This window comes from Homo sapiens, chromosome 1 (genome assembly GCF_000001405.40).
Source record: "Homo sapiens chromosome 1, GRCh38.p14 Primary Assembly".
In the NCBI taxonomy this organism is placed as follows: Eukaryota; Metazoa; Chordata; class Mammalia; order Primates; family Hominidae; genus Homo; species Homo sapiens.
In genome coordinates, this window is record NC_000001.11 from 60,509,848 (window position 1) to 60,525,952 (window position 16,105).

General features: G+C 36.4%; 1 long non-coding RNA gene across 1 annotated transcript in view; it reads right to left on the reverse strand.

Moving 5' to 3' along the window:
- Positions 1 to 5,868: 5,868 nt before the first annotated feature.
- The window catches only part of LINC01748 (long intergenic non-protein coding RNA 1748), a 106,970-nt gene continuing 96,733 nt past the window's right edge, over positions 5,869 to 16,105 (reverse strand). The window contains exon 8 of the long non-coding RNA NR_146508.1: positions 5,869 to 7,191. This is a non-coding gene — a long non-coding RNA (long intergenic non-protein coding RNA 1748). The remainder of the gene's footprint in view (positions 7,192 to 16,105) is intronic.

The following is a 16,105-nucleotide window of genomic DNA, read 5'->3' on the forward strand; positions in this document are numbered from 1 at the left end:
CCTGATGATCCACATTCTCTGCAATAATTATTATTGCCAGAATTGTAATATTTTATCAAGCATGTAGATGTAAAATGGTATCTCATTTTAGTGTTGATTTGCATTTCTTCAATTGTTAATAAGATTGAGAATATCTTCAGATATCGTCCTTATGTATTTTTAAAAATTATTTGTAGAACTTCTTTTTATTTTTGATACAAACTCTCTGTCAGTCATATATATTGTCAGTATCTTTTCCTGGTTGGAATCTTGTCTTTTGAGTCTCCTGGTAGATGCTGTTTTCAAATGAATGTTAACTGTTACCAATTCACAACTACATCCTTCTCAAAAGAACTGTGCCTGGCAAATGGACATGCCTCACCCAAAAGTTTTTGTGTCCTACCCTGGGTTCAGCCTGCAACCAATAATTGATGAATACACAGATACAAGAGGCTGACTCCTTTCCCTCCAGGAAATACTTCCTCTGTGGTATAATTCATGTGCCCACAGTTTTCCATGGGATTTGGCTGACACTAGTCTCCAGCTGAAACCACATCCTTAGTCAACTCCTTCCCCTCCCTGTTTTGCTTCTTTCATTTCCCTATAGGTTCTTCCTGAGGGCATTTCCTCAATAAATCACTTGCACAAAAATCTCCATCTCAGGTTCTGCTTCTAGGAAATCCAACTTCAGATACTTTCTTTGAGGTGTCTTTTGATGAACAGTTCTGATTATAATGAAATGTATCAAATTTTTTATTTTATGGATTTTCTTTTTTAAGAATCTCTATTTACAAATCCTTCCTTACTCCAAGATCAGAAAGCTATCATTATCTGTTATTTCCTGTAAAAAATTGAAAGGTTTGCTTTGACATTTGAGTCTTTATTTATTTTGGAGTTGATTGTTTTGTAAAGTATGAGGTAGAAATTCAATGTCTCTATATGTCAGTAACTATTTTGTCCAGGTTAATTTATTGAAAATTTCTTCTTTTCCCTATCATGTATCTTTTTAGAACACTGATAGTTTAGTCAACATTTATTCCACACTTTTTAAATGCTTTTTATTTTTATTTTTTTATTATTATTATACTTTAAGTTTTAGGGTACATGTGCACAACGTGCAGGTTTGTTACATATGTATACATGTGCCATGTTGGTGTGCTGCACCCATTAACTCGTCATTCAGCATTAGGTATATCTCGCCCCTCCCCCCACCCCACAACAGTCCCCCGTGTGTGATGTTCCCCTTCCTGTGTCCCAGTGTTCTCATTGTTCAATTCCCACCTATGAGTGAGAACATGCAGTGTTTGGTTTTTTGTCCTTGCGATAGTTTGCTGAGAATGATGGTTTCCAGCTTCATCCATGTCCCTACAAAGGACATGAACTCATCATTTTTTATGGCTGCATAGTATTCCATGGTGTATATGTGCCACATTTTCTTTTTTTTTATTTTTTTAATTTTTTATTTTTTATTTTTTTATTATTATACTTTAAGTTTTAGGGTACATGTGCACATTGTGCAGGTTAGTTACATACGTATACATGTGCCATGCTGGTGTGCTGCACCCACTAACTTGTCATCTAGCATTAGGTGTATCTCCCAATGCTATCCCTCCCCCCTCCCCCCACCCCACAACAGTCCCCAGAGTGTGATGTTCCCCTTCCTGTGTCCATGTGATCTCATTGTTCAATTCCCACCTATGAGTGAGAATATGTGGTGTTTGGTTTTTTGTTCTTGTGATAGTTTACTAAGAATGATGATTTCCAATTTCATCCATGTCCCTACAAAGGACACGAACTCATCATAAACTGCTCTTAAGATCAGTGCTTGAGTTCTGTAGATGTCTGTTAGGTCTGCTTGGTGCAGAGCTGAGTTCAATTCCTGGATATCCTTGTTAACTTTCTGTCTCATTGATCTGTCTAATGTTGACAGTGGGGTGTTTAAGTCACCCATTATTGTTATGTGGGACCTAATAGACATCTACAGAACTCTCCACCCCAAATCAACAGAATACACATTCTCCTCAGCACCACATCGCACTTATTCCAAAATTGACCACATAGTTGGAAGTAAAGCACTCCTCAGCAAATGTAAAAGAACAGAAATTATAACAAACTGTCTCTCAGACCACAGTGCAATCAAACTAGAACTCAGGATTAAGAAACTCACTCAAAACTGCTCAAATACATGGAAACTGAACAACCTGCTGCTGAATGACTACTGGGTACATAACGAAATGAAGGCAGAAATAAAGATGTTCTTTGAAACCAAGAGAACAAAGACACAACATACCAGAATCTCTGGGACACATTCAAAGCAGTGTGTAGCGGGAAATTTATAGCACTACATGCCCACAAGAGAAAGCAGGAAAGATCTAAAATTGACACCCTAACATCACAATTAAAAGAACTAGAGAAGCAAGAGCAAACACATTCAAAAGCTAGCAGAAGGCAAGAAATAACTAAGATCAGAGCAGAACTGAAGGAAATAGAGACACAAAAAACCCTTCAAAAAAATCAATGAATCCAGGAGCTGGTTCTTTGAAAAGATCAACAAAATTGATAGACAGCTAGCAAGGCTAATAAAGAAGAAAAGAGAGAAGAATCAAATAGACGCAATAAAAAATGACAAAGGGGATATCACCAGCAATCCCACAGAAATACAAACTACCATCAGAGAATACTATAAACACCTCTACGCAAATAAACTAGAAAATCCAGAAGTAGTGGATAAATTCCTCAACACATACACTCTCCCAAGACTAAACCAGGAAGAAGTTGAATCTCTGAATAGACCAATAACAGGCTCTGAAATTGAGGCAATAATTAATAGCTTACCAACCAAAAAAAGTCCAGGACCAGATGGATTCATAGCCGAATTCTGCCAGAGGTACAAGGAGGAGCTGGTACCATTCCTTCTGAAACTATTCCAATCAATAGAAAAAGAGGGAATCCTCCCTAACTCATTTCATGAGGCCAGCATCATCCTGATACCAAAGCCTGGCAGAGACACAACAAAAAAAGAGAATTTTAGACCAATATCCTTGATGAACATTGATGCAAAAATCCTCAATAAAATACTGGCAAACCAAATCCAGCAACACATCAAAAAGCTTATCCACCATGATCAAGTGGGCTTCATCCCAGGGATGCAAGGCTGGTTCAACATACAAAAATCGGCAAACGTAATCCAGCATATAAATAGAACAAAAGACAAAAACCACATGATTATCACAATATGTGTAGAAAAGCCCTTTGACAAAATTCAACAACGCTTCATGCTGAAAACTCTCAATAAATTAGGTATCGTTGGGACATATCTCAAAATAATAAGAGCTATCTATGACAAACCCACAGCCAATATCATACTGAATGGACAAAAACTGGAAGTATTCCCTTTGAAAACTGGCACAAGACAGGGATGCCCTCTCTCACCACTCCTATTCAACATAGTGTTGGAAGTTCTGGCCAGGGCAATCAGGCAGGAGAAGGAAATAAAGGGCATTCAATTAGGAAAAGAGGAAGTCAAATTGTCCCTGTTTGCAGATGACATCATTGTATATCTAGAAAACCCCATTGTGTCAGCCCAAAATCTCCTTAAGCTGATAAGCAACTTCAGCAAATCTCAGGATACAAAATCAATGTGCAAAAATCACAAGCATTCTTATACACCAATAACAGATGAACAGAGAGCCAAATCATGAGTGAACTCCCATTCACAATTGCTTCAAAGAGAATAAAATACCTAGGAATCAAACTTACAAGGGACATGAAGGACCTCTTCAAGGAGAACTACAAACCACTGCTCAATGAAGTAAAAGAGGATACAAACAAATGGAAGAACATTCCATGCTCATGGGTAGGAAGAATCAATACCGTGAAAATGGCCATACTGCCCAAGGTGATTTATAGATTCAATGCCATCCCCATCAAGCCACCAATGACTTTCTTCACAGAATTGGAAAAAACTACTTTAAAGTTCATATGGAACCAAAAAAGAGCCCGCATCGCCAAGTCAATCCTAAGCCAAAAGAACAAAGCTGGAGGCATCACGCTACATGACTTCAAACTATACTACAAGGCTACAGGAACCAAAACATCATGGTACTGGTACCAAAACAGAGATATAGATCGATGGAACAGAACAGAGCCCTCAGAAATAATGTCGCATATCTACCACTATCTGATCTTTGACAAACCTGACAAAAACAAGGAATGGGGAAAGGATTCCCTATTTAATAAATGATGCTGGGGAAACTGGTTAGCCATATGTAGAAAACTGAAACTGGATCCCTTCCTTACACTTTATACAAAAATTAATTTAAGATGGATTAGAGATTTACAGGTTAGGCCTAAAACCATAAAAACCCTAGAAGAAATCCTAGGCAATACCATTCAGGACATAGGCATGGGCAAGGACTTCATGTCTAAAACACCAAAAGCAATGGCAACAAAAGCCAAAATTGACAAATGGGATCTACTTAAACTAAAGAGCTTCTGCACAGCAAAAGAAACCACCAACAGAGTGAACAGGCTACATACATAATGGGAGAAAATTTTTGCAACCTACTTATCTGACAAAGGGCTAATATCCAGAATCTACAATGAACTCAAATAAATGCTTTTTATACATGAAAGGCCTTGCATGGAGCTGGGGATATAAACATAAAATGATACAACTCCCCCTGCTGTCAGGGGCTCACACTATAGTGGGAAAGTATATATATAGTGGGAAAGTATAGTGGGAAAGTGTGTGCCATCTATCAGCAGGAGGAGTCAGGAAAAACTTCTTAGAGGTAGCGGAATGAAAAAACAGAAATTTTATATTTTAGAGAGGTGGATATTTCTTGGTGTTTCCAATTTGAAGAAAGCGCTGATTGTAAACCAGCGTATATTATTTCAGAATATTGCCTATAGTTCTATGTGACACAAAATGTGTGTACAGAAAAAAAAAGGTGTGTACCAGAAAAAATTTTAGAAATAGGCAGGAGTCGACTTATAAAGGGCTTTTTTTCTTAGTGGAACTTTGATTGTAACTCCCAGCACAACCATCTTCTCTCAACAGGTGGCCTCCACTCTTGCCACTGCCTTGGAGAGAGTAATGTAACCCATAGAGAGCCGAAATAGCCTAGTGTTTTGGACATGGACATTGGTCTATGCTTTGGTTTAAATATCCCCTCCAAAATTCACGTTGAAACTTAATACCCAATACTACAGTATTGGAGGGAAGGCTTTAAGACATGATTAAATGATGAGGGCTCTGTCTTCATGAATGAATTAATCATTCATGGGTGAATGGATTAATGGGTTAATAGATGAATGGGTTATCATGGAAAGGAAACTGGTAGCTTCATAAAAATAAAAGAGACCTGAGCTAGCACATTAGCATTCTTAGCCCCATCTCCATGTGATGCCCTGTGCTGCATCAGGATGCCACAGAGTTCCCACGAGCAAGAAGGCTCTCGACAGATGCATACCCTCAAACTTGGACTTCCCAGCCTCCATAACTGTAGGAAATAAATTTCTTTTCTTTATAAACTGCCCAGTTTCAGGTCCTTTAAAACAGAAAACAGACTAATAGAGTTTAAAAGTGGGCATGTGCTGCAAACAGGTCCGATCGGAGTCCTCCTGTAGGATTAGCATATGGAAGTTACATACCCCTGCAGGGTCTATATTTGCTTGATCATGCCAAGCACTAGGCCTACTCATATCACCTCCCTTCCCTTCCACTCTCCTTTAACAATACACATGACTCAGGTACCTGTGTTAAATGGTGTAATAACACTTTTTAGGATTCTTGAAGAAATGACATTGATATATATTTTTATTCTTGATAAAAATACAAAAAGAATACCCTTTAAAATTTTGGGTTTTTTTGCTATAAATTATTATTAGAGATTATTATAAAATTTTCAGAGAAGATTAAAAAGCATTAAGAAAATTAAAATAATTCACAGCCCCAACAATTAAAGAAAAATACAGTTAAATATTTACCGTCTTATCTTTTAGGTTCACAAATATGCAGATGTACTGGTTTAAAAAATACAATTGAATTCATTCTATTTTATAGCCAAATGTTATACCATTATTAATTTTTTATACAACACAAATTTGAATATTCAATTACCACATTTCATAGTATGGTTATACTACTTAGCCATTAGTCTGTTTTTGAGGATTTTGGTTGCTTTCAATTTTCATAATTTTAAAGAATGCTGCCATAAGCATTCAATATGTAGATCTTCTGCATTTTAGATTTTGGATTGGATAAATTCCTAATGGAATTGCTGGGACAGAGGTTATATACATTTTAGGACTCTTTCCACACGAGAACTTTGCAAATTAGACTATATGTTTTATTTCAGTGGAATATGACAAGTCTGTAGTAACAGATGATCCCAAGTCCCAGAATTTTGCAGTACTTAAAAATGCAGGGCAATCAGATTCAGCCGTACTTCAGCATTTGGGGCATAATGTGATGGGCTGATTTCTGTGCTCACACTACAGTGTTTCAGACTGATACACATTCTCCAAAGCTTCTTTTTCATAGAAACAAAATATTCTAAGATGTGCAGAGCTCAAGATTTGAAGTCTTAGTTTAAATTTTCCATGTTTCTTTGAGGGTGGGGTGGAGGGTGATGTATTTTTCCTTCCTGAAGATAGTTCTACAAATGGATTCTATAGATTGAAGGCCTATTTTTGAGAATTAACTATACCAAGAATTTTACATTTATAATCTCATTTAACCCCTTCCAATACCATTTGAGAATTTAGGTGGTATGTTAGGAAACAATACAGGTTTTGAAACCAGACCAGTTTAACTTGGCGAATCCAGGTTTTATCAATTGCTTGCTGTGTTACTTTAATTGCCTTCTGAAAAGTATTAATTTCTCTAAGGTTTATCTACAAAATCATGCAGGTATGAATAAATACCTTACCACGTATATGTTTCAATTAAATGAGAAAATGCGGGTTAAGCAATCAGCATAGTGTATCTCTGTATTAGTCTGGGATCCTCTGAGATCAGAATCTGAGGCATGTATATGGTTTATTCTGGAAGTGATTGCCAGGAACAGGACTGAAGGTTTAGGGAGGAGAACAGGAAATAAGGGAAAACTGATACAAGGATGTTTTTAAGTTGGGCACTGGTGCAGATGATTGGCTCTGAACCTTCCTTCTGTGGAGTGCTGTGAAATGCATCTTAGAACTCTTTGCCTAAGGAAAAAAAGGAGAAAAATATTTATTCTTCAGCAACCATCCCCCATAGGTTAAGAATAATCCCAGGGCATTACCTCCCCTGCATTTCCAGGTTGTGTGTATCTGTCGAGTTATGCAAAGAAGCCTGCTGCAAGACAGATGAGGGGCAAGGCACAGCTGGTTGCATTTGCACAAAACTAGTCAGAACGGGTCACTACCATAGCAGCTGGGGCAAAAGGTGGAGTCTATGAGGATTTTCAGGGACACACAAGGGGTGTCTGTATTTCCTATTGCTGTTATAACAAATTATCACGAACTTAGTGGCTTAATGCAACATAAATTTATTATTTCACAGTGCTGGAGGTTGGAAGTTCAAAAAGTGTCTCTTACGTGGCTAAAACCATGATGTTGGCAGGACTGCATTCCTTTTTATGGCTCTAGAGGAAAATCTGTTTCTTGCTTTTGCCAGCTTCTAGAGGCTGTCTTTATTCCTTGGCTCAGGCTCCCTTCCAACAGTGGTGTCACTCTGGCCTCACCTCTGTCATCATACCTCTTTCTCTAATCCTGACACTCACTTTTATGTGAACTATTGTGATTATGTTAAACCCAGCTGATAATTCATGATAATCTTCCCAATTCAAGACCCTTAATCACATCTACTAAATCTATTTTGGCATGTTAGGTGACATATTCACAGGTTTCATGGATCAGCACAGGGACATCTTTGGGAGTCATTGTTCCGCCTACCACAGGGTCAGTGTAGGCTTCTAGCACACATTTGTTAAGGTTCCCTTCTCCTACTGCTTGCTGAGTTTCCATCCTCCTCAACCCCAACTGTATTAATTAAGGTTCTCCACCAAAACAGAATCAATAGGATGTATCAATACATAATGAGATTTAATATAGGGTATTGGCTCATGCAATTGCGGAGTCTGAGAAATTACACAGTCTGCTGTCTGCAAGGTGGAGACCCAGAAATGTAGTAGAAGGGAACTACAAATGTGTAGTTCAAAGGCCTGAGAGCCAGAGACCCAGTGGCATAGATTCCAGTTTGAGACTAAGGCCTGAGAACAGAAACAATGAGAGTAGGAAAAGATCAATGTTCCAGCTCAAGCAGTCAGGCAGAGAGCCAGCAAGTTCTCTCTTCCTCCACTTTTTTGTTCTATTGAGTCCACCTACATTAAGAAGGACTATTCATTTGACACAACCTATTGATTTGCATGTTAATCTCCTCTGGAAACACTCTCATAGATACACCCCAAAATAATGTTTTAATCAGGTATCTGGACATCTTTTTAGTCAAATTTACACATATAATTCACTATCATGCAACCTGTATTAGTTCATTTTCATGCTGCTGATGAAGACACACTCGAAACTGGCAACAAAAAGAGGTTTAATTGGACTTACAGCTAGCTCCACATGGCTGTGGAGGCCTCAGAATCATGGTGGGAGGCGAAAGGTACTTCTTACATGGATGGCAAGAGAAAAATGAGGAAGAAGCAAAAGTGGAAACCCCTGATAAACCTATCAGATCTCGTGAGCCTTATTCACTATCACGAAAATAGCCTGGGGAAGACAGCCCCTATGATTCAGTTACCTCCCCCTAGGTCCCTCCCACAACACATGGGAATTCTGGGAGATACAATTCAAGTTGAGATTTGGATGGGGACACAGCCAAACCATATCACCACCTGACATAAATTCTGATAATTCACATAGCTAGTAATTGGACAGGCAAAGCCACAAATCCATATGATGTGGTTGCAAATCCATTGATTTGGGGGATTTTAGAGTCAAAATCTCATTGGTGGGCGTGGTAAAGGACAGGGTTGGTAGTACTTTTGCTAGCACAAGGGCATGTGTGATTCAGGGCTACAAGAATGAGCCAATGTGAGAGAGAAGAAATTTGACCCAAAGGCTGCACTAGAAGCCCCTCCAATTTTAGATTCCATTTCCAGTGTGATGATACTAAATTGTTTTCAATCCACAAGGAAAGAAAATTTACTGTTTTTAAGTTGTCCATAATAGATAACTTTGACTAAAAGATAAAGTTGCTAAATCTAAGACAGATCATTGTTCATCTAAAATATTAAATAAATACTGAATAAGAAATATTTTAGCATGATTTTTAACAGGACAAAACTTTGCTCAGGTTTTTGGTGAAAATCAACACTTTAATGAAATATATGGGATGAAACTAAAATACAGGTGCTCCAATCTGAATATTTATAACAAATGATTTATAACAAATGAGTAAGTGTAAAAAGTAAATAAAATAAACATCCACACAACCACCATTTAGCTTTAAAAAAAATTACATTACCAATACCTTAAGAATGCCCTTGCTTTTCTGATCCCATTCCCTACCCTATTTCCTAACTGTGATCACTACCCTGAGTCTGGTATTTATTATTCCCTTTCTTTCCTTGATAGTTTTTTTAAATAATCTACATATTTCTAAATAATATATTTTTAGTATTGTGTATAGGTGGGATGATATTGTACGAGTTGTGCTATTCAATCATGCTGACTTATATAACTCTATCTGATTCATTTGTTCATTTGTACTGCTGTGTATTAATTCACTCTTGCCAATGGATATTTGAGTTATTCCCTCTTTGGTGATATTTATTGTCTTTTTTTGTTTTTGATTCTCTCTTAAATATTACAAATTATGAACACGTTTGTACTTGACTCTTCATGCACATGTATAAATTTATTTTTTAAGTTTGAATCCAGGAAAGGAATTATTTAATTGTAAGGCAGGCACATGGACAATTTAAAAGAAAATTCTATTGATTATAAAACGTAAATAGTCACCAACAGACATGTGAGTTGTTTTATTCTACATTCTTAGCAAAACTTGATATCAGCAGGCTTTTAAATTATTGTCATTCTAGCAAATGCAAAATAGTATATTTTATGAAATGTTAAATAGATACAAATTTATGTTATGAAAGCACTTCTGTGTCTTGGTTATAAAATTTTCTTCCACCCAAAGGTCATATAGATATTCTCCTATATTGTCTTCTAAAATTAAAATAAAATCTAAAATGACTCACTTTCAAATTTAAGACTTTAACTGGAATAGATTTTTATACACAGAGAGAAATCTAATTTAATTTTTTATATAAATAACTATTTTTCTAGTATCATTAAGTTGTCTTTCCTTTACACAATTATTTGTACTGTAAGTTTTATTATATATCATTTCCATATATTTGTGGGTCTGTTTTTGCTAATTCTCTTCTGATTTAATTGATTTATTTTTCTATCTTTAAGTCAAAATTGCATTTCTAACTAAAGTGCTTTATGCAAAGATCTTGACATCCAATAGGACATGTTTTCTGCTTTCTCCTCCCATTCCTTCAGGGGTGTTTTGGCTGTTGTTAGCTCTTCCTCCTTCACAAAAATTTTAGAATCAATTTAGAATTTTAGAATTAATTTGTCAAGTTGTACAAAAGTCTTGGTAAGTTTTTGACTTAAGTTTTAAGAGAGAACTTGGTAGCTTTAAACTACTGGACTCTTTCTGTTTATGAACGTGGTATACCTTACCTTCCCATTGGTTTAAATCTCTTTTAATGTTATTAAGTTTTATAATTTTTCTTTATGTCATAAAAATCTTTCTTTTATTTCTTCTTATAAGTATACATGTGAATGGAGAGGTGAATACATTGTATTTTTGCTGTTATTGTAAATAATATCATTTTTGCATTAAATTTTCTAATTCTCATTGATTAGGCATGGGAATGCAAATTGAATTTTATATAGAGCTATTGTTTTGATCAACATTGCAAAGTTTCCTGTTCAAGTCTAGTAGTTTATCAGTACATGCTTTACATTTTATATGGAAACAATGTATATGTGAATAATAACAGCAACATTATGCTGTCCTTTTCTAACTTTTCTATCTTCTATAAAAGTATTTCTAACTTTTATATCTTCTTCTTGCTTTGGACTTCCAGAAAATTATTGAAAATAAGTAGTTATGGTGAGCATTTTTGTCTTTTGTCTTAGTCCATTCAGGCTACTATAACAAAAAACTATATACTGGGTAGCATGTAAACAACAGAAATTTATTTCTCCCAGTTCTGGAGGCTGGAGAGTCCAAGATCAAGGTGCCAGCAGAGTCAATGTCTCATGAAGACCAATTTTCTGGGTCATAGAAGATGCCTTCTAACTGTGTCTTCAGATGGTGAAAGGGGAAAGGCAGGTCTCTGGGGCCTCTTTTATAATGGCACTAGTCTTTTCCATGAGGATTCTACCCTCATGACCTAATCACCTCTCAAAAGAACCCACCTTCTTACACAATCATACAGGTGACTATGTTTTCAACATAGAATTTTGGGAAGACACAAACATTCAGGACATGGCATCTTCTATGTATTTCAACATGTACTTATTAAATATCACTTCTGATTCTAGTTTACCGTAAATTTTATCAAGCATGGATATTGAATGTCAGTGAATGCTTCTTTTATACCCGTTGAGAAGGTCATGCATTTTTCTTTTGTAATCATATGCTAATAAAATTAATTTATACTAATTGGTTTTTTAATATTAAACCTACCTTGCAGTCCTGGAGAATCTAAACATTCATAATGTATTATACATTTTTAGATTGTTCATTTATTTTTGCTAATACCATGTTAAAAATTTTAACATGAATAGAAATAATATGTATTTCTTATTACTTCCACTATTTTTAATTTTGATATCAAGTTACTCATTCAAAATTTCTGTGTTGTAAATAAAGAGTAAGTCCACTTACATCAATGGAAATTACTAATTCTACTTTCTACCACCTAATTTTTATTTGTCTTGCTTTTTCCATTTTTTCCCACGTTCTTGTCTCCCTTTAAATTGATTCAGTCTTTTCTCTATTATTAATTCTCTAATCTTCTCCAGTTGGAGAGTATACACTTTTTAGCTGACTTTGTAGTGGCCACTTATAAATATTTTGCCAAATATTTTACAAAGTTTAAAATTATCGAAGGAGGCTGAGGCAGGAGGATTGCTTGAGCCTGGGAAGTTGAGGCTGCACTAATCCATGATTGCACCACTGTGATGCTGTCTTAAAATGAAATAAAACAAAATAAAATAAAAATTTATATATTTGCTCTACTTTTGAACACTGGGAGAAGCTTACAACACTTGAACATCTAATCTCCATCCTTTTCCAAACTATATACTATTTTTGCTGAGGGTTTTAGTTCTATTTCATTTTCATAACTTCTCTAATCATTATTATTTGGTAGTTTTGTGTCGTCATTCTGAAATTTAGGTATATCCTCATATATATTAGTATCTTCATATGTCATGCCATTGCATATTAGACTTTACAATAGGGGTAATTTTCCTTCTTACTGACAATAATGCTAGTTCTGTAATTTAGTAACTTTGTGACCTTGAAGCAAATTACTTAAAGCTTTTGCGCTTCTTCAGTTTTTTCATGAAGTGGAAATAATAATAGTATTTATTTCACATCTACTGAGAAGATTATTTATATGGTTTGGCTCTGTGTACCCACCCAAATCTCATCTTGTAGCTCCCATAATTCCCATGTTGTATTAGTCCACTTTCACACTGCTGATAAAAACATACCCAAGACTGGGCAATTTACAAAAGAAAGAGATTTAATGACTTACTGTCCCACATGGCTGGGGAGGCCTTACAATCATGGCAGAAGGTAAAAGGCACATCTCACATGGTGGCAGACAAGGGAAGAGAGCTTGTACAAAGAAACTCCCCCTTATAAAACCATCAGATCTTATGACACTTATTCACTATCATAAGAACAGCACAGGAAAGTCATGCCCCCATGATTCAATTACCCCCCAACAGATCCCTCCCACAACAGGTGGGAATTTAAGATGATATTTGGGTTGGGACACAGCCAAATCATATCACACGTGGTATGATATACCAGAAAATGTGGAAGAAAATGCTATGTGGAATATTGTCAATCATCCTACTAGAGAGAAAACAAGCACTGGAGGATCTCACTGACAATTAAATGCTTAGCCCAAAGCCAGAGAGACACATTAGTTTCTCTCACAAGACACTGGCCAGAATTGGTCACATGGGAATCCAGGCAGTACAATCTTACTATGGGCCAAGAAGTCAGAGAGTTGAGACTATTCAGTGATCAGCATAAATAAATAGTATACCATCCTTTATAATTTTCTTTCATTTTTGCCTTAAAATTATACTAGCTTAATTTCCTAGATTCTTGCTTTAACTTTTTAAGTTTTTTATTCCTCTTAAGATTTCTTATTTTCTTGCCACTTTGATGGTGTATTCTGAAGTTTCATTTTATATATTATTCATTGGTTTGGGGGGAATTTGTTCATTTACCTTTTAGATGAAAGGCTTTTTTATATATCTGGTATACTCTAGTATACTGCTCCAGAGATAATGAAAATAGAAATTTTACCACTCACTTTCAAAGCCTTGAAAAAAATGATCCAAATCTTAATGGAATCATAAAACCACCTTTCTATGGTGGTCCTATTATCTAAATGTCAGGAGAACTACTCCTCATTCTATTTCTTACTAAATAACTTTGAAACCATGGTCAGATCATTTCCCCTCTCTGGACCTACTTTCCTTAACTATAAAGCATCTAGGTAGTGTAAATGACCTTTCAGGGGCTGCCCCAACATACTATTCATTTATCAGTTTATTTCACAGTAGAACATGCATTCTATAATGATTTTTAACAATCTCAAATTCCAAACCAAATATTTCTTTTTCAATGGCAGGCTTGTTGCTACTTAAAGCTTTTCATGGAAGCTCTTGACTCAAGAATGCTACAAAAATAGGCTCTTGTCCTCTTCTTGCATCTTGCAGATGTACAACATTAGCATAAAGAGATGTTGGAAAAAAGGTGCCCTCTTCTACCATGTAGTTCCTTTGCTGCTACGTGAACCTCATATATTCTCACCTCCTTCTTGAAATACTTGCAACAGAGTACATAAAGGATAGCTGAACATTCTTTGGAGAGGACAATTGTAGTTTAATCCAACCTTTGAAAAAGCTTTGCTCCTCATTCAAATTCTTTAGATGCTCTCAGTGCGTAAACTACATGTCATGGTACATACAAAAGGGAAGAGAAAAACACAATTGTCATGGTCAGTTTGAGATGCTACAACAAAAATGCCATAGACTGGTAGACTGGGTGGTTTAAACAATTACATTTATTTCTCACAGTTCCAGTATCTGGTGAGGGCTCACTTCCTTGTTTGCAGACAGCTACCTTCTTGCTGTATCCTCACATTGCTGAGGGAGGGATCCCGTGTTTCTTCCTCTTTTTATAAGGGCATTCATCTCATTATGAAGGCCTCATCCCAATGACCTAATCTAATCCTAATTACTTCCCAAAGGCCCCACCTGCAAATACCATCACATCGAGGACTAAGGTTTTACTGTATGAATTTTGTGGGGAGGTGAGGAATAGCAGATGAAACACATTTAGTCTGGAGCAACAATTAACATTGTTTTAAAAAACCACCATGTCTTTCAAAATATATGTATTTTCCCCTAATGATTACATTTATTTCTCACAACAATCCTTGAGGTAGATATTGTTATACCTCCTTTTGGATGTGAAAACTGAGTTCACAAAGGATAATTAAGAGATTCAAGACTTCACATTTGTACTGCACTGTCTACCAAAGCTCATCAGTGTTACTGAAATTACATGAGAGATATAAATCTAAGTAAATAGAACCCCCTGCCTCATGGTAATAAGTAGAAGACTCAGGTATAAGGCAAGAACAACTCCGTCAAGATGAGGAAACACAGGCATTCACATACCCGCTGATGCATGAGGATAGAGAGCATGGCCTCTGAGCTCAGGAAGACTGGATTGGTTTAATTCCCAGAGCTGAGGCTGTAGTAGATTTCTTTTTATTTTCTTTAACTTTATTTATTTATTTATTTGAGATAGAGTCTTGCTCTGTGGCCCAGGCTGGAGTATAGCGGCACAATCATAGCTCACTGCAGCCTTGAACTTCTGGGCTTAAGCAATCCTCTTGCCCCAGCCTCCCAACTAGCTAGGACTACAGGTTCATGCCACTGCACCCAGCTAATTTTTAAAATATTTTATGGAGATGAAGTTTCACTATGTTACCCAGGCTGATCTCAAACTCCTGGCCTCAAACAATCCTCCTGCTTCAGCCTCCCAAACTGCTGGAATTACAGGCATCAGCTAGTGTACTCAGCCCTTAGCTTTCTTTCTGACATAATTTTAGATTTAAAGAAAATTTAAAAATAATAATAGAAAGAATTCCAGTATATCTTCTCACAGAGTTTTTCAGTGTTAACACATTACTACATTTGTTTTATCACTCACAAACATACACATATTTTTATTGAAACATTTGAAATTAAGTTACAGACAAGATGACCATTGATTATTCAATGTGTACTTTCTAAAACAAGAACATTCTGTTACATAACCACAGTATAATTACAAAATCAGGAAATTAACACTGATCTACTTCTACCATTTAACTGTCAAATTGCCTTGGTGTTTCACTCCTTGTTCCTATATTGCTCTTTATAACAAAAGAAAAAGTTGGATTATATGTTGCTTTCAAAATAGGCCAGGCACGATGGCTCACATCTATAATCCCAGCACTTTGGGAGGCTGAGTCGGGCAGATCACCTGAGGTGAGGAGTTCGAGACCAGCCTGACCGACATGGTGAAACCCCCATATCCACTAAAAACACAAAAACTGGCCGGGCGTGGTGGCGGGCGCCTGTAGTTCCAGCTACTCAGGAGGCTGAGACAGGAGAATCACTTGAACCTGGGAGGCGGAGGTCGCAGTGAGCCAAGATTGTGCCATTGCACTCCAGCCTGGGCGACAGAGGGAGATGCTGTCTCAAAAAAAGTAAAAAGAAAAAAAAAAAAGTCTGGTGGCTG